The sequence below is a fragment of the Homo sapiens genome, chromosome 9 (assembly GCF_000001405.40).
Source record: "Homo sapiens chromosome 9, GRCh38.p14 Primary Assembly".
Taxonomy (NCBI): domain Eukaryota; kingdom Metazoa; phylum Chordata; class Mammalia; order Primates; family Hominidae; genus Homo; species Homo sapiens.
Window position 1 is genome coordinate 116,802,763 of NC_000009.12, and position 22,657 is coordinate 116,825,419.

The 22,657-nt window shown below is 39.7% G+C and overlaps 1 protein-coding gene across 3 annotated transcripts in view; it reads right to left on the reverse strand.

Moving 5' to 3' along the window:
- ASTN2 (astrotactin 2) overlaps positions 1 to 22,657 on the reverse strand; it is a 991,946-nt gene that overhangs the window by 379,651 nt on the left and 589,638 nt on the right. For all 3 annotated transcript variants that reach the window (NM_014010.5, NM_001365069.1, NM_001365068.1), the window contains 2 exons: positions 17,855 to 18,021; positions 2,870 to 3,058 (listed from right to left, as the gene is read on the reverse strand). In NM_014010.5, the coding sequence (NP_054729.3) occupies positions 2,870 to 3,058; positions 17,855 to 18,021 (356 nt within the window). The remainder of the gene's footprint in view (positions 1 to 2,869; positions 3,059 to 17,854; positions 18,022 to 22,657) is intronic.

A 22,657-nucleotide genomic window follows, 5' to 3' on the forward strand; every position in this document is an offset into this window, starting at 1 on the left:
CTTCTCATGGGTGGGGCTGGGATTTGAAGGCATGTTCATTGGCAGTCTGTTTTCTTGACTCCCACCCTTGCTTATCCATATGTCTGGGCCTTTGCAGGCTCCTTCCTGGACAGGAAAATGCCCTTTAACTCTTATCTGTCCCAAGAGGCACTATTCTTTGCTATCACTTCAAACCTCAGTTCACAAACTTTGTCCTTTGAGAAGCCCTTTATCTTTCCTTCTAATTCCTTTCAACAGGCTTCCATGGGAACTCTTTGGAAACCATCGTCTTTCCTTGGAACACTGCTTTGCAAATTAAATTTTTCTATTTTTTTAAAACTTGTGTGTGTCATCTTGCAAGCTTTTAAATTTCTTCCTCAAAGAGAAGGAATAATTCCTTTATTTTTTTATTTTGTATTCCAAGCAACATTATTCTATCCATGATGTTGCTCAAGACACACTTTCATAGACCATTAAAATTATAGAAAACTAGTATTGTAGAATCTCAGCATTGAACTGCAATTCATCCAGACTATCCTTAAATTTTTCCCAGAGCTTTTCCTGATTTTTGTTCTTTTTTTTTTTTTAAATAGAGACAAGTGTTCACTCTGTTGCCCAGACTGGATTGCAGTGGCATGATCATAGCTCACTGTAACCTTGAATGGCCAGGCTCAAGTGATGGTCCTGCTTCAGCCTCCCAAGTAGCTGGGACTACAGACATGTACCACCAAGTTCGAATAATATATATATATATATATATATATATATATATATATATATATTTTTTTTTTTTTTTTTTTTTAGACGGAGTCTCACTCTGTCATCCAGGCTGGAGTGCAGTGGCGTAATCTCAGCTCACTGCAAGCTCCGCCTCCTGGGTTCATGCTATTCTCCTGCCTCAGCCTCCTGAGTAGCTGGGACTACAGGCGCCTGCCACTACGCCTGGCTATTTTTTTGTATTTTTAGTAGCGATGGGGTTTCATTGTGTTAGCCAGGATGGTCTCAATCTCCTTACCTCATGATCCGCCTGCCTCAGCCTCCCAAAGTGCTGGGATTACAGGTGTGAGCCACCACACCCAGCCCAGTTTAAAAAAAAAAAAAGTTAGCAGAGATGGAGTCTTGCAAAGTTACCTAGGCTGTTCTCAAACTCCTGGGCTCAAGTGATCCTCCCACCTAGGCCTCCCACAAGTGTTGGAATTACAGGTGTGAGCCACCATGCCTGGCTCGGAGCTTTTCCAGTAAAGTAGCATTCAGTCTCTGCTTGAGCAACTGAGTCATGGATCCACCTGCCAACGATACCTAAAGTGTCAGAGGGGCCATTTCTATCTCCTTTTCCATCTTATGCCCAATAACCAGCATGGTATATGAGAAAGAGGAGATTCTCAAAGAGTATATGATGATTACAAGGATGAACGGTTTTAGTGAATTCACATCTCCATTCTCATTCTGTAAAATGGGAGTAAGAGGGTATGCTGAATTGAAATACAAGAGCAAGGTTTTAGAGTCAGCTGGAGTTACATCTGATTCCTGACTCTACCTCTTACTAGATGATGATCTTGAGAAAGTCACTCAACCTCTCTGGATTAATTTCTCAATTGTAAAATGGAGGTCATAGTGCCTCCAGTGATTCTAATAATGAAGCTAAAATGAAATTATCTTGGCTCTCCTACTTCCTAGAAGGGAGTCTTTGGAAAGCTACTCTAGATTTCTCTTTCTCTTCTGTATAAAAAGGATGATAATGACTCCTGCCTCACAGGATCATTGTGAGGATTACATAAGTTAATAGACAAAAAATACTTAGAAAACCCTTTCGTGTATGCTGAATTAATGTTAGTGGACATTATTATTGTTAGTAGTTAGTAGTAAAGAACTTGACACAGAATAATTATTAATAAATGGTAACCATTTATTACCACTCATAATACAATTATCACTACTATTAGTAAGATGATGGAATGGAAACAATGATTATTATAATGGTGACTTATTACTAGTTCTGACTTTTATTGATATGACCTCAAATGATTAGGAGAGCCTTGCTTTGTGATAATATCTTTTTTTTTATGCAAACATGGTTAAAAGTATAATGTGTGTGTGTACGTGTGTGTGTGTGTGAGTGTGTGTTTAGATAATCCTTCTCCATACATACAACAAATCTCACTCTACTAGCTTATGGTTCTTCAAGCTTTGAGGCATAAGTAAGTCACCACTTAAAGTTTCTCTTCTTTAGGCAGAACAGTTTCAACTGTCCAAAAACCCTTTACCAATATCTTGCATCTTTAATCCTCACATAATCTGGCCAACCTAGCCGTCACTCACTATTGAGTGAAAAAAGCAATTTCTAAACAGCTTTACTGGGATTTGGGGAGTGTGTGTGTGTGTGTGTGTGTGTGTGTGTGTGTAGGCAGACAGGAAAAAACAGAGAGAGAAAGAGAGAAGTAGAAATTTTAAGAGCATTCAGGAAAATGTTAATTCTAGGTATTTCTGGGTGATGCGATTTTTATTTTCTACTACATTAAATGTCCTTATTTTTGAACTGCCTGAACAGCATGCATAAAATACTTATTTTTCAGTAGACTGAAAGATTAATTAATGTTTTTCAAAATGCCATTAACTGTACTTATATGATAATTTAAGATTGAATTTAAAATGTGGGGCTAGAACTAGGAAAATGGCAAAGTGGGACAAATATATGCTAGGACCATGAAAAAGAAACCTTATGGAATAAAGTTTGATGACTTTCCACACTCCTTAAGAGGGTACCTGTGAGCTTAAAGTGATGCTGGCCAGAATAACAGGTCTCTACCCCATTGTGCCCATGGCTTCCTCCCTGTGCCCAGGTTGTTTGTCAGTGACTCAGACAAGCAATGTGCAAGTATCTACAGCATACCTAAAGGTCATCTGGAAGACTTGGCCTTGGTTCACATGCTGGGTCCGGTTGTTGTAACCATGTAGCATCTCTCCAAAGAGGGTATCATTGAATTTGGAGTCAGGTTTGAGGCACTTGGGGCCCTCGCAGACATCTGAGAGCATTAAGCAGGATTTTCCATCAGGAGCCAGTTTGTACTCCTCCACGCAACTGTATGATAAAACAGAGCTCAGAATTAGCTTCACATCCTGAATGCCCCCATTGGGGGTGACCTAAAACCAAGGCCTCCTTTCCCTGCAAAACAGGTCAGAGTTTAGGAAGGAGACAGCTATTCTACCTGGAATCTATCTAGGGCACAGATGTCTAGAGAGAAGCACATTAATACTGCAAATTGGTAAATTCAAGGAAAGTCATTTGTGACATTTTGGAGGAGTCAAGGGGACACCAGCGTGCACGTTCACACACAAAGCAAATTTAAAGACTGTTTCCCATGAACATACAGACTTTAAAAAGCATGACATACCAATTCACAGGGAATCATCAACTAGTGTCTCAAACCAGAATCTATTCCCAGTACATCTGTCAACCAAGGTTGAAGACTGTAGCAAATACAAGGTTTTTATCATCCTGGTAGCTCAGAGGTGAAACCTTCCAGGACCATGGACAGCACAAGGCTTCTGTTCACTTAGGGATTTTAGCAGCCTCCGTTGGTCTAACAGCCAGAAAAGCCCTTGACAAGCCTTTGAGACAGGGGTGGCCTCATCTATGGACAAAACAGGCATCTGAATAAGGTGTGGAAACAATATTTGCAATTTGAAAAGATTTGCAGTGACAAATCTCAGAGAGGCATGGGCTGGAGGGGATGGGGATGGTTGGGGCAAGAAATCAGAGATCTCAGCCCCTGAAAAATCATTCCAGAAACTGGAATTCTATGAGTGTCTACCTTTTCAAAGTTCAGCGCTAAGCACTAGGAGTATGGTGCACATAAATAAGACAGACAAGAGAATGGTCTGTGAGATTGGACAGACCTGTACAAATGCCATTTTTCTCCTTGTGACCTATATGAACATGAGTGAGTCATTTAACTTCTATGATCCCCAGTTTCCTCATGTGTAAAATAGAGTAGACACTTCTACCTTAATTCAGTAGGATGCTATAAGGTCACATGATACATTGGCCACAAAAAAAACAGGAATTGCAATATACTTAACACAATAATCATAATAGTGGTAGTAATGGTGTTATTTCTATTTATTGAGCATGTACTATTCACTGAACACTTTATGTATTTATTATCTAACCATGAAGAAAGAAAGAGTAATATCATAATTTCTGCTTTACACATAAGCAAAATAAGGAGCCAAGAAATAAAGCATATAGTACTGTGAGTAAGTAGCAAAGTTGATATTCAAATTCAGTTCTGTTAGAAAAAGGGATGTTTGTCTATTTTTGTCTCCTCCAAATCTAGTGCTTTCTATGTGCACAAAATGACCCTGGTTGGTATGTCAGTTTGAGAAAGTAAACAGCAGGCAATCTCTTATTTGCCTTTTTTCAAAGGGTGTAGCAAAGATTCATTGAAGCTAACCGCAAAGGGACTCAGGAACTCAGATGGGAGAAGGAAGAGGCTCTGTATGGTGGTTTGGAAAGAAAATGTACACAGGTTGTGGGAACCAGTAGCTGATGCTACAGATATAGAGCTGAACTGGAGGCAGAAAGAAGACAAGCATAGCTGGAAACCTGACCCAAGATCACTCTAGTGAAAAGCCAGGAAGTCTCATGCATGAAGCAAACTGTCACTGTTTCCTTGCTTTCCCCTAATCCCTGGCGTACTGCACTGATGCACTGATGGTCTTTCTAACGTTCAAATGTTCCTTTCCATAGTACAGTGGGGAAATCTCTTGGAAAAGGGCCCTGTCTCAGAGCCTTGGTAAAGTATATCCCCTTCTTTTTGCATCTGTTAAATATTACTAAGTCCCTTTTAATACAGTTGCAGTGCAGATGAAATGAGTGTATATGGAAGTGAATCGTACATGGTGAGTGTTTCATAAAGTCTAGTTCCATCCATTTATTGAGAAAATATGGAGAAATGGTTTACTGGGTACACTGGCTAGAGTTCTCTCTCTCTCTTTATTTCTCTCACCCTCCACACATACCCACATCCCTGTGTGACTGTGAATAAATATATTATTGTTGAAGATGAGTAAACATTATCAAAGTCTGGCAGGGCGCAGTGGCTCACGCCTGTAATCCCAACACTTTAGGAGGATGAGGTGGGTGGATCATGAGGTCAGGCGTTCAAGACCAGCCCAGCCAACATAGTGAAATCCTGTCTCTACTAAAAAAAAAAAAAAAAATTAGCCAGGTGTGGTGGCAGCCACCTGTAATCCCAGCTACTCAGGAGGCGGAGGCAGGAGAATCACTTGAACCTGGGAAGTGGGGGTTGTAGTTAGCCGAGATCATGCCACTGCACTCCAGCCCAGGCAACAGTGTGAGACTTCGTCTCAAAAACAAAACAAAACAAAACAAGACAAAAAAACCATTATCAAAGTCTATAGAGTAAAATATGGAACTTCTTCATTTCCCACTCCTCACTTTCTGTCCCAGAGGTCACCATTGTTAATTTTTATGTGCTCTTCCAGGAGTTTTTCAATGCATTTAAATACATATTGTGTGTGTGTGTGTGTGTGTGTGTGTGTGTTTGTGTTTGTGTATACAGAAACATTTCTTTGAATCTGTCGACTAAATTGGGGGGATTTATATAAACACACATATGCACACACACATCTCATAATAAACTCATAAGCAGAATTACACTATATATTGTTGTGAGACATGCATTTGCACCTGATGCAATTTCTTGGAGATCTTTTCAAAACACTATATATATAGATCTATCTTTCTTAATGGTTATTTGGCATTGCACAGTATAAATGTACCATAATGCTTTTAACTAATTTTTATTGATGGGCACTTTAGCTGTTTATAGCTATTTGTTATTACAAACAATGCCATAATGAAGATCTTTGCACATATATCATTGTGCCCAACTATGTGTTTCTATAAAACAGATACTCAGAAAAGAAATTGCTTGGTTAATGTTTTATGAATTTTAAAATTTTGATAGATCTACTAAATAGTTGCCTGTAGAATCTCTACCCGTTTACAATCCTATAATTGATGAATGGGAGATCCTATTTTTCTACATCTTTCATGTTCATTACTGCCAATCTAGGATAGGAAAAATAACTCATTTTTGTTTGGATTTGCATTTCCCTTGTTACTGATTAGGTTCAGCATCTTTTCATGTTACGGTCACTTGCATTTCTCCTTCTATAGATTATCCATTAATATGCATTGACCATTTTTCTATTGTGATATTTGCCTTTTTCTTTGTGTTGGTTTATATATGCTCAATATTTTCTGGGTAGTTATCCTTCACCTTCCATATATATTAAAATTTTTTTCCAGTCTGTGCTTGTATTTTAATCTTGCTTTTGATATCTTATTACCTCTTTCTTCTGGTCTTTGTGTCTGAAATTTGTGCAATGTTTAGAAACCCACAAGACGATAAAATATATTTCTGTATATTATTGTAGTATTGTATATGTTTAAAAAAATCTTTGGTTATTTAATATGCATGGCATTTAGTTTTGAATGTAGTGTGAGTGTTTATTTTAACTTAACTATTTTTTAAAATGGGTAGCCAATTGTCTGAAGTGTCTGACCTTTCAACAACAAATTTGAAATGTTATTTTTTTTTTACACGTGCAATCCCTACATATGCCATATATACATGGTTGGTGTTTTTCCTGTTTAATTATCTGTATATTCCTGCAGTAATTCCAAGCTGTTTTAATTACTATAGCTTTATAGCCTGTTTTGGATATAGTAATAAAGTAATACTCCTCCCCTTCATCAACACTAGTTTTCTATTTCCAAATTTCCTGACTGCTCTTCCATATTTTTCCTTTCAAATGAATTTCAGAATGGGCTTATCAAATTATATGCAAATCCCTAGTGGAATTTTGGGTGGCATTGCTTTGAATTTGTAAACTAAATTGGGGGAAGATTTTAATATTAATTTTATTTCATTTTCTTTTATTTAATATATACGTTTTGCGAGTTAACTCTGTGCTGGGCGCTTCTGATAAGTGTGACAAAGACATCTTGCATTAACCACACTGTGTCCTCTTCCTGGACTTGCATTGCATTGGGTCCTCTTCCTGGACTTACATGTCTAAGCCTGTCTTGCAGTTGGGCTGAAGGGGCCATGTAACTGGATTCTGAATAATGGAATCTATGCTGACATGATTCAAGTCACTGCCAGAATTAGTCTTTTCAAAACATCCTGTGATTTTTCAAGCTGCCTCTTCCCTTGTTATGGCAAGCTTGGAGACCATGCGTTCCCGATGCATTCTACAGGATGGAGGAAGACTGCCACAATTACAATAGACCGTGCACAAATAAGAAACTAGCTTTTGTGCACAAGCTTCTGGTTGGGGGAGGGGGCTCATTTGCTACAGGAAGAAAGCTTATCTTATCCTAATACAGCATCTTTATAATTTGGAGTTCTCTAACTGAGAAACAGTTTGTATCTCTATTTATCAACTGTTCTTTTAAAACATTTGGTGAAGTTTTTGACTTTTTGTTATAAAGGTTTTGCACGTGTCTTTTGGAGGTTATTCATGGGCATTTATGAAAGGCACTATGCTGTAGAGGTTTATCGAAGTATGTTTTGGATCCAGACTAACAGAGTCCAAATGCTGAGTCTGCCACTTACCAGTTGTGTGACCTCGGACAAACTACTTAACCTCTCTGTACCGCCTTTGCTTATCTATAAAGAAGATCATGTGTGCCTTTTAGAGTGAAAATTCTACTGTTGCAATCTTTTAAACTTCAGAAATAGGATCAGTTTTTCATTTATGCTTTCTTTTATGTTTTCTACATAGTTATTACTGACTTGAGAAAAGCTGTTACTGATTTTTCGAAGTTGATGTTGCATCCTACGAACATAAAGAACTTAAACATTCTAACATGTCTACTAAATTTTTCTAAATGGAGAGCATATATTTGCTCAGTTTGGGTATTAGGATTATGGAATAAGTTAAAAAACTATCCTTTTTTGTTTCTTTCTCTGGATCAGTTTATATAAGATAGATGTTATCCATTACTTGATAATTTGATAAGTCTTGCCTATAAAATCCCCTGGGCTCGATGGCTTCTTTTCAGTTGTAGATATTTAGCTCTTATCATTTATTTCCTTATTATCTGCCTATTTAGATTTTCTATATCCTCATGACTCAAACTTCGTAATTTATATTTTCTAACATTATAATGTATTTTATCAAGACTTTCACATGTATTGGTGTAAAGTTCTATGCAGTGTTCTCATTAAATTTCTTTTATCTTTTATGTTTCTATAGTTAAGGCACTAGCTCATTCGTAATGTGTTCGTGTTCTTTCTTTGCTCTCTCCTTTGAATAGGCTTTTTGTATTTTGTATTTTATTGGTGAGCTCCCTTTTTTCTTTTCTATTTAATTTATTTCAGCTTTTATTTAATTCCTTCCTGCTGTTTTATCTGACTTTGTTTTATAATTCTTTTTATGGCTGCTTAAGTCAAATGCCTCATTTGTTTATTTTCAATCTTTCTTGCTTCTTAATAAATGTCTTGAAGCTTCTGACTGTGGCTTTGCCCACACCCCATAAGTCTGACGTGCAGCCCTCATGCTCCTGCTCATTTCTAATGAGGTGAAAATTTGAGTTTGATTTTTTCCATATCCAAGTGTCACTTAGAAGATATTTAAAAATATAATTCCAAAATAGATAATTTGTTTGTTCCTCTTTTTCTAATATTACTGCATTTTTAGACTAACAGTGTAGTTTGTATAATTTCTATGTTGGTAAATTTTTGAGATTCTAAGGTAGTCACAAGTTGAGATTTTAGAGCTAACTAAACTTGAGTTCAAATACAGGTTGTGCCATCTACCAGTTACATGACCTTGATCAAGTCTGCTAATTTCCGCAGGCTTTGGTGTCATAATCTATTAAGGAAAATGACAATCCTTATCATGGGGATGTGAAAATTAGAGATAACTTATACAAAAGATGAAACTGTATCTCTCATATAGTATTCAAGTAATGCATCAGCTATTATGCTTATTATTGTTATTGTTGTTGTTACTTAGTCCATTAACCCATTTACATATCCCAGGAAGTATAAATTTATTTCTATTGGTTCTCATATCCTAGTTGCTGGCCTCTATCTAGATCCAGATTTCTGAAAGTTGACATAGTTGCCATTCTTTGATTCCTTTTTTGTTTTTCTGCTGCTTCACAGTGTATGTTTGAGAACTTCTTATGTTGCATTCATTGGAAATAAGGTATACATATAATTTGTATATATTTTTACATGTGGAATTATCATATAGAAGTTAAATATATGCATTATTTGTGTGTGTGTCTCTGAGTGTGTGTGTGTACATACACACGTATTTGCAAAGCTCAGTCCCACATTCAGGATCCCAAAGTTTAGTGGAATGCTTTTGTATATATGACCTGGTTTGCTCCTTATAACCTGTAATAGGTAGAATAATGGCCTCCTCAAAATGCCCACATCCTAATCCCGAACACCTGAGGTTATCTGACATGGCAAAGGAGACTTTGAAGATGGGATTAAGTAAAGAATTTTGAGCTGGAAAGATTATCCTGGATTACTTGGGTGATCTCAATGTCATCACATGTTTCCCATAAGAGGGAGATAAGCGTGTTAGTCAGAGGAGGAAATGCAACTTAGAAGCAGAGGAGAATAAGAGGGGAGCAGAGTAACGGACCATGAGTCAATGAATGCAGATGCTCCCTAGCAGTTGGAAAAGGCAAGGAAATAGATCTTCCCCTAAGGCCTCCAGAAGGAATGCAGCCCTGCCACTGTCTTGATTTTAAGAATATTGACCTTGAGAACTGTAAAATAAAGTGTGTTATTTTAGGACACTAAGTTTGTGGTGATTCATTACAGAAGCAATAGGAAATGTGAGACACTCACAGGGAGGTATTGTCTCCACTTTCAGATGAGAAAATTGAGGTTTACAGAAGTTGAGTGACTTGCCCATGGAGGTATGTCTAGTCAATAGTGGTGCTGGGAATCAAAACTTAGGAGCTCAAGACGTGTGTGTGAATGTGAGTGTGTGTGTACGACTTTAAGCATATCACAACTGTGGATTTACAGTGATTTTTCTTTTCCCTGTGGGTGGGAAAAGATTGTGGCTTGCAGGAGAGATTCAGGGGGAAAAAAATTCCCATCCTTGTAAAGGAAAATGATCCCCTGAGTTTTGAAACAGGAGCAGTTCTCCCCCGCCGAGCCACCTAAGGGCATAGGAAGGTTTATGCTAAGGTCTATTTAGTTGTTGGGTTTTTTTTAAATTTTATTTTTGTACTATGACACATAATTATATAGCTTCTTTAGAACATTCTGTCATCTGGGAGATTTTCCTACAGAAATTCTAAAGAGTGTAGGCTCACAGGAAACCAGCCAAGATCTACATGAAACTCTATTTATACATGTGCCAAAATGAAAAATATAAAATAAGTGCAGAGATACATACCGGGCATTTTAGCTGAAGGCAATGGATGTGTTACCCTTAACACACCCATCACATTATAGAGAATACCAAAACTAGATGGGATTTTAGAGAGTGCACCATAAAACCTTCTATGTGTTTAGCTCAGAGCATGTTTTATTTAATCCTCATAGCAACATTGTGAGATGGGTACTTTCATTCCAACATTGTCACAGAGGATCCTGAGGCTTGGGACATCTAAGCTCACTAATCAAGGTCACATGAGCATTTTGGAAAAGCCAGAACCTTGACTTGGGTCTTCTTACTCCAAATCCTGTGCTCCTTCCAGTTAATTACAAATGACCTCTTCCTATCTGTTTGTTGTTTGAAGGAGAAAATTGAGACTGACAGACAAATGGTATTGTGTACAAACTCTCAAAGCAAAGTATTTCTTTTTCTCATGTATTTTTTCCTTATTTATTAATTTATTCTTCAATGGTTTGTGGAATCAACAGAATTATCAAAATACATATCCTAGAAACTTTTTGAAAATAAGGAAGGAATCAAATCCTTAAAAATATTAAGAATAGGCCAAGTGCGATGGCTCATGCCTATAATCCCAGCACTTTGGGGGGCTGAGACTGGCGGATCACCTGAGGTCAGGAGTTCAAGACCAGCCTGGTCAACATGGCGAAACCCCATCTCTACTAAAAATACAATAAATTAGCTGGGTGTGGTGGTGAGCGCCTGTAATCCCAGCTACCTGCAAGGCTGAGGCAGGAGAATTGTTTGAACCCGGGAGGAGGTGGTTGCGGTGAACTGAGATTGTGCCATTGCGCTCCAGCCTGGGTGACAGAGCAAGACTCTGTCTCAAGAAAAAAAAAAAAAAAAGAGAGAGAGAGAAAAGTAGTTAAGGGTAAGAATAGCTCAAGGAGCTGCACAACAGGTAGACTTGGACCAACGTTAGGAATAAATCTAAGTATCCTATTACTAAGGCAAGAAAGGAACAGGTTCCTTCCCAGCTTTCCTAGTGCAGAAACCTGTGAAAACCCCACCCTGGGATCATCAGGGCTAGAACCAGCACCTAAGGAACTCAACTGCATTAACCCTTCTAACTGATATCATGGGAATCTTTTTCACCAACACCCTCAGGATTGTCCCAACATTAACCAAACGAAGATCAGAGGAGGTGTTCTCTGAGCGGTCTTGGGTTGCAGGTTTTATTCAAGGGAAAATTTAGAGTTTCTAGAAAAAGAAAAGAAAGAAGTGAATAGAAAATGGAATTCCATGGGAAACTCTGGATTAATTATATAGCAGATTTTATCTAGTCTAAGACCCCTAATAATGGTAAGAAACACTCTCAGTTTACATAACACTAAGAAAGAAACAAGGAAAAAAAAAAGACTGCCAAATAAACTCTGTCAAATCATTAAAACTAAGATACCTTCCCACTTCAGAAATGTTAAAATGTGGAAAATATGGGCACTTTAGAATCAATGAAATATGTTTCTCCACTGCATGATTTGGGAGAGCCTTGACTATCCCCAGGCACACTGGGAACCTGTAAGAGGCAGTTAGGAGTGCAGATTTTTCCACATGGGAAACTCTGAACATTTAGTTTGTTGTTGTTGTTTAATATTTGAATGTCTCATGGAACTAATGTTCCATACAATCCACACTGGAAAATAGCTATCCAAACAAATGGATGGATATTACGTGTTTCCATCAATTGTCGGTGAGCATTTTTTACACCTGAGCTTTTACAAATGTTTAAAAAGAAGAGAAAACAAGGTTATAATGTTTGACAAGAACCTGGCATGAAAGTATTCTATGTTAACGATTAGAAGTAAAATTCACGTTCTCCAACCAGAAATGAAAGGGGTAAGGGCTCAGGCTTTAACCTAAAAGGTGGAAACCACAATAAAACAAGTGCCTGAATGAATTCCCCCATCTCCCACCAACTCTTCCACTTGTTACTGATAATCAAAATGAAGGCCATTGTCTCTGTTCTGTCGTTCAGTGTTTTCTACTGTTAGACTAGACTTCAGCTTTGACAATGAAAATACGTGGCTTCCAGTTACTATGCATATTAAACATGTTTATCTCCTTTCCCTCTTAAAATTACATAAAGAGAATATTAGACAGAGAGGCTATTAAGGACTATTTGAGGCTGGATGTGTTATTTGAGCTAATGTGTTTTTAGGGCACTTTCATTTAAATTGGAAGCAAGAAGGTTGGGATATCTCAAGCTTCTATCCCAATTTTACCTCCTAACTGGCCGTGAGTGCCCCCACCTTGAGGGCCTCAGTTTCCTCCTCTAAATGATCTGAAAAATACTGAAACTTAAAAAATGTTAATGAGGCCGGGCGCGGTGGCTCACACCTGTAATCCCAGCACTTTGGGAGGCTGAGGCGGGTGGATCACGAGGTCAGGAGATCGAGACCATCCTGGCAAACACGGTGAAACCCCATCTCTACTAAAAATATAAAAAATTAGTCGGGCGCGGTGGTGGGCACCTGTAGTCCCAACTACTTGGCAGGCTGAGGCAGGAGAATGGCCTGAACCTGGGAGGCGGAGCTTGTAGTGAGTGGAGATCGCCCCACTGCACTCCAGCCTGGGCAACAGAGCGAGACTCCGTCTCAAAAAAAAAAAAAAAAAAAAAAAAGTTGATGAAATGGCTCACTATCTCTTACATAGGAATATATGAGAAATAACTCTCTTAGCAAATAACGGCAGAAAAAGGTGTATAACTCCTGAAAACAAAACAAAACAAAAAAACTACAACTTTCCTTTTCTCATACAAGGACAACTATATAATCCACTATGGGTATTTTTTCTCTTTCTCTGTTTACTTTGGTTGCCAAGAAGCACACAGCCAAATTTATCTCATGTTGAGTGACTCTTTCATTTTGAGCTTCTGAAACCATTTTCTCTCCCCTCCTTAAAATGGCTCTGATGATTCCTATCTTTATATGAATAGCCTTTTAAAAATATATTGTCTTTATGTGAGTAAAATAAGTTCTCTTGGAAGTGTGCATGGTAGACTCTGTAAACACATACACACACACAAAACAGACAAACTTTGTTGCTAGGTAACTTGCCAAGGTCTTCACAGGAGGTGATGCCCTCTCACCTATAAGACTGGTTCTAAGGATTTATTCTACAGGCTTTAGCTTAGTGTCCAATGACCTTCTCAATCTATCTTGAATTCACCTGCTTCTGTCTACCATTCTGGTACTTGTGCTCTGTCAATATCAATCAGGACCCAGTGAGGCTTAGGCACCTCTTTGCCCCTGCTGGAGAAGAACTCTACTCAATGATTATTTGCACCTAATAAAAGACCAGGCACAGAGTAGTCACAACAAATCTTAGGCGGATGAATTCTTTAATTCAATCATTATGGTTCTAAATAAGTCTTTGGGCCAAGCAGTGGGAATGGCAATGAAGACATGCAGATGCCTAGGATGTAGTCCCTGCTCATGAGGAGTTCACAGTATGACAGAAACAGACAGGAATGCAGGTAAATCAACCAAGCTATGAGGCTATCACAGGGAGAGCCATGGGGCCTGTGCAGCCCCAGAGAAAGGATGATTTACTCTGTTTTGGAGAACGTAAACTGATGAGAGGGCAGCCAGCCAGAGGTCCAGTCTCCAAGAGATGTCAAGATTTCACTGGGATAAATAAGAATTTGAGACAAAATGTAAATATTCCTTTCCCTTGTAGGTAGAAATGAAAATAAATAAATAAATAAATAAATAGACGAGGGAAAATGTCATTTCTATATAGGCCCTAACCCCATGCAACATTCAGCCAATATTTAAATAGTATCCATTTGAAAGGATGAATATTGGCCAGGCACGGTAGCTCACGCCTGTAATCCCAGCACTTTGGGAGGATGAGGTGGGCAGATCATGAGGTCAGGAGATCGAGACCATTCTAGCTAACACGCTGAAACCCCATCTCTACTAAAAATACAAAAAATTAGCTGGGTGTGGTGGCACGCACCTATAGTCCCGGGTACTAGGGAGGCTGAGGCAGGATAATCGCTTGAACCCAGGAGGCGGAGGTTGCAGTGAGCTGAGATCTCACCGCTACACTCCAGCCTGGGTGACAGAGCGAGACTCCATCTCAAAAAAAAAAAAAGAAGAAAGAAAGAATGGGTATTAATTATCTTGTTCCAAGGTAACTGCATAACTCACACCTGATGCCTCTTAGGGCTCAGAGAAGGCTTGCTGAAAAAGTGATGCCTGAATTGAAACTTGGAGGCGAAAGCTAAAGGGCCAGGGACAAATGGGAGTCAGTGGGGGTACAAAGGAGAAAGAGACAGGAGACAGAGGGAACAGTGTTGTGAAAACTCCAGAAACTGAAACCAGGAGGCTTAACTTAGGAAGAGGAACCTAGCTGGAAATGAAACTGGAAAAGTCAGACTGGAAACTTCTTTAGCCATGTTAATGGAGGAACTTTGCTTAACAACTATTAATTGAAAACCTACTATGTGCCAGTCACTGTTTTAGCTCCTGGAGACAAAGTAGTAAACAAGAGATAAAATCCAGTAATTACATAATTAAATGAGATGGTTTTATACTTATTAGACTAATTATAATTATGGTTTACTGAGTGCTTAACTATGACAGCTCCTGTGCATGTATAATTTCATTTAATCTTCACAATGGTGCTACAATCACTTCTAATTCTACATGAAAGAGCATAGGCTCAGAGAAATTGAGTGGCTTGCCAAAGATCACATGACTAGATGTGGCCAGAGGTCAGCAATGACATCAGATCTGTCTTGACTGAGCCTGGAACCACAATACCTAAGTTTCAATCTCAACAACCTCACTTACCAGATATGTGACCTTGGACAGTTACTGAGCCACTCTGTGCTTTTTTTAAAAAAAAAAAACATAAAATGGGAATCATAATAGTAACATCGCTTGTAGAATTGTTATGAGAATTGAATGAGCTAATGTACCCAAAGCACTTAGAACAGTCATGGTACGTAGAAAGTCATTAGTAAATGTTAGCTGCTATTATTAACCTGGTTGCAAACAGATTTATTAAACCTTCTCCTACCCAGAACACTCTTAGGAAGGTCATAGAGCTTTGAGCAAGTTGGGAAGGTCCCCTTGATAATGAGTTTATTTTGTTTTCCCTGCTTAATTCAATAGCATCCCACTTCTCTCTGGACCATCTCTCTCACAAGTATCTGCTAATAGCTTTCATTGTTTACAGTGCTTCTAACAAGTGTGGTAACTTCTCATTTGCATTCCTAATAGACAGTTTCCAAATCCTGTTGAAACTGCAGTTGGTTTTAGGATGCCTGGGTTTTGTTTTTTGTTTTTTTTGTTTTTGTCCTATTTATTACCATTTGGATGGGTTTTAACAGCTCACCACACACTCTCACCCATTCAATCTTCTTTAAGACGCTCACAGTCCTTTCACAATATATTAACAGATTAGTCCTGTCTAGTGCATCAGGTCACTAGCAAATGTTATTAGAATCACTTAAGTTAATTTATTTAACAAACACATACAGTGCTAATTCTGTGCAGGACATTGTTCCAAAGCATTTCACAAATATTAATGTAAATGGTAATATATTTAGTCCTTATAACATCTCTATAGACAGATATTACTATTATCCCTGTTTTACAGATGAGAAAACTGAGGCACAGAGACATAAATTAACTTGCTGAAGGTTACACAGCAAGGAGATGTTGAGCCACATCACTAGTCATATGACCTTGGGCATGTTTCTTAGCCTTCAGAGGGTAACAAATATGAAATACTTTCCTCTCTTCAGAATTATCATTATATTAAGGTAGGTATTAAAATTTTACTGGTGAGAAAATGGAAGGTCAGGGGTCCTGAAAGGCTTGCCTTATGGCTAAGGGAGAGTGGCAGAGCTAGGATTACAATTCGTGTCTTTTGAATCCACGGTTCCCTGTAATGTGCTGTGGATGGAAGGTGGTAATAGTTTCTGATGTCAAAATCCATTATTGCTGCTCCTGCTGCTGTTACTGTTATTATTTACCACAGAAGAACAGCCCCCACCCCACCCCAAACACACAGAGAGAAAAATAACAATGACAAGAACATGGCTGATTCTGGATGCAGCCTGCAGATCTAAAGCCATGCATAATTTACTCAACACTGCCCTGCAGTCACTTAAGCTGAGGAGAGATCGCTATAAATTCAGGTCTGCATACCCTAATTTATTTCTTATTTATTTTGCTGATACATATCTAGGGCCTCCAGTGAGCTGCTTCTACACCTGCACAAAGGCACCTGCAGCCCTAAGTGCAACTAGGGCAGGAAAGGAGACCTTGAAATAAGCCCTGGAAGAAAAACTGGACTCTACACACTAGAATCATACAAGTTTAATTCATTTTTCTGGTAAACTGGAATTAAACCCATGCCCACACTCACCCCCTATTTGTGAAACACAGGACTGAAAATGTTGTTACATGTCCTGTTCTGCTTTTCTATCTTAGTAAAGACAGCATTAAATGTACTTCTTCCATGAGTACAAGATTATTTTTCTGAGTCACAGAATGTCAAAAGATAAGCAAATATTCTAATACTAAGACATAATCAGAAAGGGAATGAAGAGAAGAAAAAAGTCTGTTCTTGTAAGTGATTACTAAGGACCAAATGCTATATGCAAGGTGCTGTCAAAGGCAGAAGTAATGGCCATTGCAGTCTTTAAATGGAAAGCAATGTAAGTTGGAAGAAATGTCAGCCATCCTTCCCCAAAGATCTCTTTTCACAGATGGTCAAACTGTGGCCCAGGGAGAGAACATGACTTGTCAGAAGTCACTCAGCAAGTTGGTCCCAACGTGTTCCCCTTTTAGCCTCATACTTATTTCAAAAGTCAGTTTGAGTCCTTCAAGAGCCAGAGCTGTCCTACAAGCTTCACCTGTGTTGTTTCCTTTAGCCCTCCCCTCCTCCAGTTAATTGTCCTTACAGATACGGACATTAGGACACAGAAAGGCTGAACAGTGCCCTCACATTGCTACATTCCTGCTGAAACCAAGCTTGAAGGCTGGACTTAGCCTGTGCTTTTATGCACCATACCTGAAGCCTTTGTGAACCTTCAAGACGTCTGCTTTTGTCTCCAAACTGCACTGACTAGGCCCATACAGGTAGATTCAGAAGGGCAGGAGGCTTCAGCAGGAAAAAGCTCCTGGCTCTAGGATGAGGCCTGGGCATGGGTTATATTTATTACATTTATTAACCCAATCTTTATTTTTCTCATTTTTTTCTTTTTTAACCCACCCAACAGAAGGTTATACTTTTGGCTTTTGGCTCTTGGACTAAAACAGGAAAGGCAGAAAGGCCATTTTATTGAAGGTCAAGGTTCAGCCTTGCTGAGCTGTAGTGTCTGATCATTTTCCCATGCATCCCTCACTTCTGTAAATGGGGCACCTGGGCCTTGGGGACAGAGACTCACCCGCAGAACATGAAGATGGTGCTCGAAGTGGCATCGTAGGGCAGGGGCAGCGTCTGCTGCAGGCACAGCTGCTCACAGCCGCCATTAAAGCCATCAGAGCAGTCAATGCCTTTGGAGTGGTCGTAGCAGCCAGAGCCATCCTTCATGGGTTTCAGCTCCTCAGGGCACTGCTCAGAGAGAGGGCAACAGGGTAGTTATGGCTTGGGAGGTTGTAGGCCCCATCACACCCTCTCCTCCCTCCTGGAAGAGACATGTGTCAGGGCCTGACAGAAAGGTATTCAGTCTCCTTTTGTCAGTTAATAACTTTGTGACAAGTTCCACAAGTCCCTTTACTTCTCTGAACCTCAGTGTGCCCACCTGTAAAATGGGACTTTTGTGACTATCTGCTTATAGTGTTGTGAGAATGAAGGGTGATAATGTCAGCAAAGTGTTGAGAACACTGGCTCACACGGCAACAGCACAGCAAATGTCAGCTGCTGCTAATATTGATATTGCTGGGATCATATTCATTATTGTTTCTACTGTTATTGCCCTATAGGGTCTACTGCTAGAAGGGTCACATAGGGAGGCTGCCAGATATATATTTAAAAGCCTCTACCAGTATGAGTGTAATTTCCAGCTTTTCCTCTTCTCACTGTGTGACCCGAGAAGTTACTTGCCGTCTCTGAGCCTCAATGTTCTCATCTAATAAATGGGCACAATACCTGCAACTACAGATTTGTTGTGAAGCTTAAGTTGGATCATGGGGGTGCATACCTTACTTCGGAATTTGGCACATAATTTGGTACTCATAAAATGTGAATTACCTTCCTTCCTGTCTTGAATTAGTCTCTTCTTCTCCACCATTATCCCTGGAGCCCTAAGTAAGATTCCTGCATACTCACATCACCATGAAAAGGGCTCCTAGCCAGTCTGCTGGACTCCAGTCAGGCCTTCTCAAAACCATCCTCCAAATGGCCAACAGAGTGCTATTTCTAAATAGCATCACTCCCCAGCTTAAATAAGTAAATGAATCTTAAAACATGTGAAGCTGCTATAAACTGATAATCAAGGTCCTCCCTTTATAGACAACCTAGTCCTCTGCTTGGCCATATGCACAGCCCTCCCCATAGCCCTCTGGTCCCTAAGTAAACTCCAAGGAGTTCAACCTTCAATGGCCTCAGCTAGAACGCTCTTGTCAGTGGGTCTGGCACCTGCTATGTGCTCCTTCAGTGGAAAATCATATACTGTGGAGACAGATGGCTATTGATTAAATTTAGTTTTCCATCATTTGATGAGGCTGAGCTCATCTTCTCCATCCCAGCTGATGGAGAAGTAGTTCCAATACTCCTGCTTTCAGAAGAGAAAATGAGGTACTGGGTTTTTATTTCAGTCCTCCCGCTGGCATTTCTTGTCCACAAAGATTAACACCCAGAGCCCAGCCTTCCTCATCCATCACCGGACATCACTGATTAAAATGCCTTCCCACCATGAGACCCCACCGGCCAACTCCCCGCTCCCCTTCCCATGCCATCGTCCTAAACAACATCAATAATAAAACATACTCACAAAAATTAATTTACAAAAACCACAATAACAAAAAAAAAAAGGTCAGCCCTCTTGGAAATTAAATTTTGCCTGAGAAGAATTTGTAATTACAAATGCATGAGAGAGTTCTTCAAGACATTTGAGACTGGCGCCAGGAAGAGTGACGGAGAAAGTAGGTTATAAATGGCCTTTGTCAAGCTGCAGAAAGGTTATAAAACTGCTGCATTTTGTGCTTAAAAAATCAATTTTCCATGTGAGTGAAGTGCTGTACATATTAATACAAGCTCAGAGGAAGCCCCTGCTTGTCTCTGAACATTCACTGTCAGACAAGAGGGCACCTGGTCACAGGGTCATTTGGAGCCGTTTGTGAGTACTGGGGCCTGGCTTCAGTCTGTTTGCAGACTCGCGGAGCATGTTGAAAAGAATGACTGATTTTCTGACCAGGTAACAGGAGACACCTGGGCAGGGTATGGTCTCAGTCCTTCCCATCCCCCAATGATTCTCTACCACACTTGTTTTTTTAAACGTGTTCACTAAGCTCCAGGTTTTATCTAAGCGCTTTACCCGTTTTAACTTATTTAATCCCTATAGCAAATATATGAGGTAGAGTGGTAGGCTGATAATGGATCCCAAAGACATGTCTCTGTCCTAAGCCCTGGAACTTGGAATCTGTGAATGTGACTTTCTATGGTAAAGGTTATGCAGATGTGATTGTGTCAAAACTCTTGAGGACACCCTCCTGGGTTTTCCAGATTGGCGTAAATGCCATCACAAATGTTCTCATGACAGAGAGGCAGAAAGAAATTACACACACAGAGGAGAAGGCGATGTGGGGGTGGAACAGAGATTGGTGTGATGTGGCCACAAACCGATCGATGCTGAGGCCACCACAACCTGAAAGAGGTCAGGCACAGATTCTCCTCTAGAGCCTCCAGAAGGAGCACCACCAGAAATCAAATGCCAGCACCTTGATTTTGGATTTCTGGCCTCCAGCACTAGGAGAGAATAAATTTCTTAATAATTATCTTAAGCCACTGAGTGTGCAGCAATTTCTTGCAGCAGACAAGGTAGGTACCGTCAGGATTCCCACTTTGCAGAGGAGGAAGCGGAGGAGAGGGTCACACAGTTTGGTGGTGACAGAGGCAGAGCTTCTCAGGCTTCCCAACTTTGTTGCTATTAGCTGCCTAATGGGCAAGCCACTTCACCACCCTGTCATTTACTGACTGACTGATCTCTAGTTTTAAGAAGTCCTGTCATTTACTGACTGACTGACATCTAGTTGTAGGAAGTCCTGTTATTTACTGGCTGACTGACATCTAGTTTTAGGAAGTTAGAATAAGGCAGGGCTTAGAGCTGATCTAACCTCCTTACTTTAGAAGTGACGCCCAGAAAGTTAAAGGACATCACCCCATATTCCTCAGCACATGAGCGAAGAACGTGAAGCCAGGCTTCCCTTGCCCCAGCTTGGTGTTCTCTGTCCACTACACTCACTTCCCTTCAGGTTAAAGCATTTTGCAAACTTACATATCCTATAGTCTCTCTCCCCAAGATGATTTGCTGATGGGAAACTGAGGATCAGAAAGGTGAGGGTACTTGACCAACATCACACAGCAAATTAAAGGCAAGATTTGATCCACGCCTGTGGGAAAGGCTTCCTAAGTACATGAAGTGGGTTTACCAGTTACCATCATTCCTTCCTCTATCATGGACTTCAGGTACTGTGCCTTTGAGGATGAGTAGGGGCAGATGAGATCTAGCCATCGTTTGAAATTACTTGTATATTATTAGTATTTCAATTAGTTTGTTGCTTACTGTCTGTCTCCTCCACCAAAATGTAAATGTTATAATAGTATGGACCATGTGGCTTGTCCTAAGCCATCTGGCACACAGTTGGTACTTGTTATTTGCTGAACGAATTGGTGGAGTGCTAGAAATGACATTTAGTGTATCTGTGTATTAACTTTGGATCTGAATCCACACTACTTCTTATAAGTTGTATAACCTTCAGGCAGTGACATAAAGTCTCCTATCTTCACGTGATTACTGTGATGGGTAAATAGTACGGTAGCCAGCTTCAAAGATGGTCCCCAGTGATTCCTGCCTTCTGGTATTAAGACTCATGTAGTCCCCTCCTACACTGCACCAGAATTGGTCTATGTGACCAATAGTATGTGGCAGAAGAGGAGGTATGTGGCTTCTAAAGGTAGATCATAAGAGAGATCTTTCTCTCCCTCTGTCTGTCTCTCTCTCTCTCATCACTTGCTCTAGTGAAAGCAAGCTGCCATGTTTTCAGCAGCCCTATGGAGAGTCTTATGTGGCAAGGAAGTAACACCTCTGGCCAACAGCCAGTAAGGCTGGGGCCTGCCAGCAAAACATGAGTGAGCCTGCAAATACACTATCCAGCCCCAATCAAGCCTGTTCAGATATTGGCAACCCCAGGTGACATTTTGACTGAGACTTTGTAGAGGTAGGCCAGAACCACACATAGAAGCTGCTTTTGAATTTCTGACCCTTAAAAATTGTGTGGGATAATAAATACTTTTTGTTTTAAGTGACTTGATTTTTGAGATAATTTGTTACACAGCAATAGCTAACTAATATAGTGAAATAAATGTATGCAGTACTTAGCACAGTGATCAACAAATAGTTCTGCTGTTATAGGTATTTGTAAAGAGCTTAGAATCTGGTTTGAGAGATAAATATACACATCTATCAGAGAACGTTAGTTATAGAACAAACATAAAAAAGTATGGTAAAATTTGTTTGGGAAAATAAAAACTCTGCAAACTAGGCAATATTGAAACAGGGAGGTTTTAGTCTTTTCTCCTCCTCTAGGAAGGGAATCCTGTAGGAAGGAAGTTCCTACAGGAAGAGAAAAGAGACATCTAATGTACTAGAAGAGGAAGACTAGAATTCATTACCAGGCACTGTCACTTGCTTGCCTCGTGACCTTGGACAAGTCCTTGAAACTATTTGGGACTGTTTTCTTTCTATAAATAGAGGAGCCAGTTTGGAGACAAGAATATGAGGACTAAAGTCAGGCCTGAATTCCAAGGAAAGATTTGTGACACTGAGCATATAGGCAGGATGCTTCACCTCAGAGACAGCCTCAGGTTCCTCATCTGTAGAATGCAAATAATGTCTCTCTTGGAGGCACTTCTGAAGACTGTATGAGAAAACACTTCTAAAGTATCTGGCTTTAGACCTGGTACATAATAGACACCTAATAAATGAAGAATAATTGAATAGGGATATATAAACAAGTAATAAATTAAC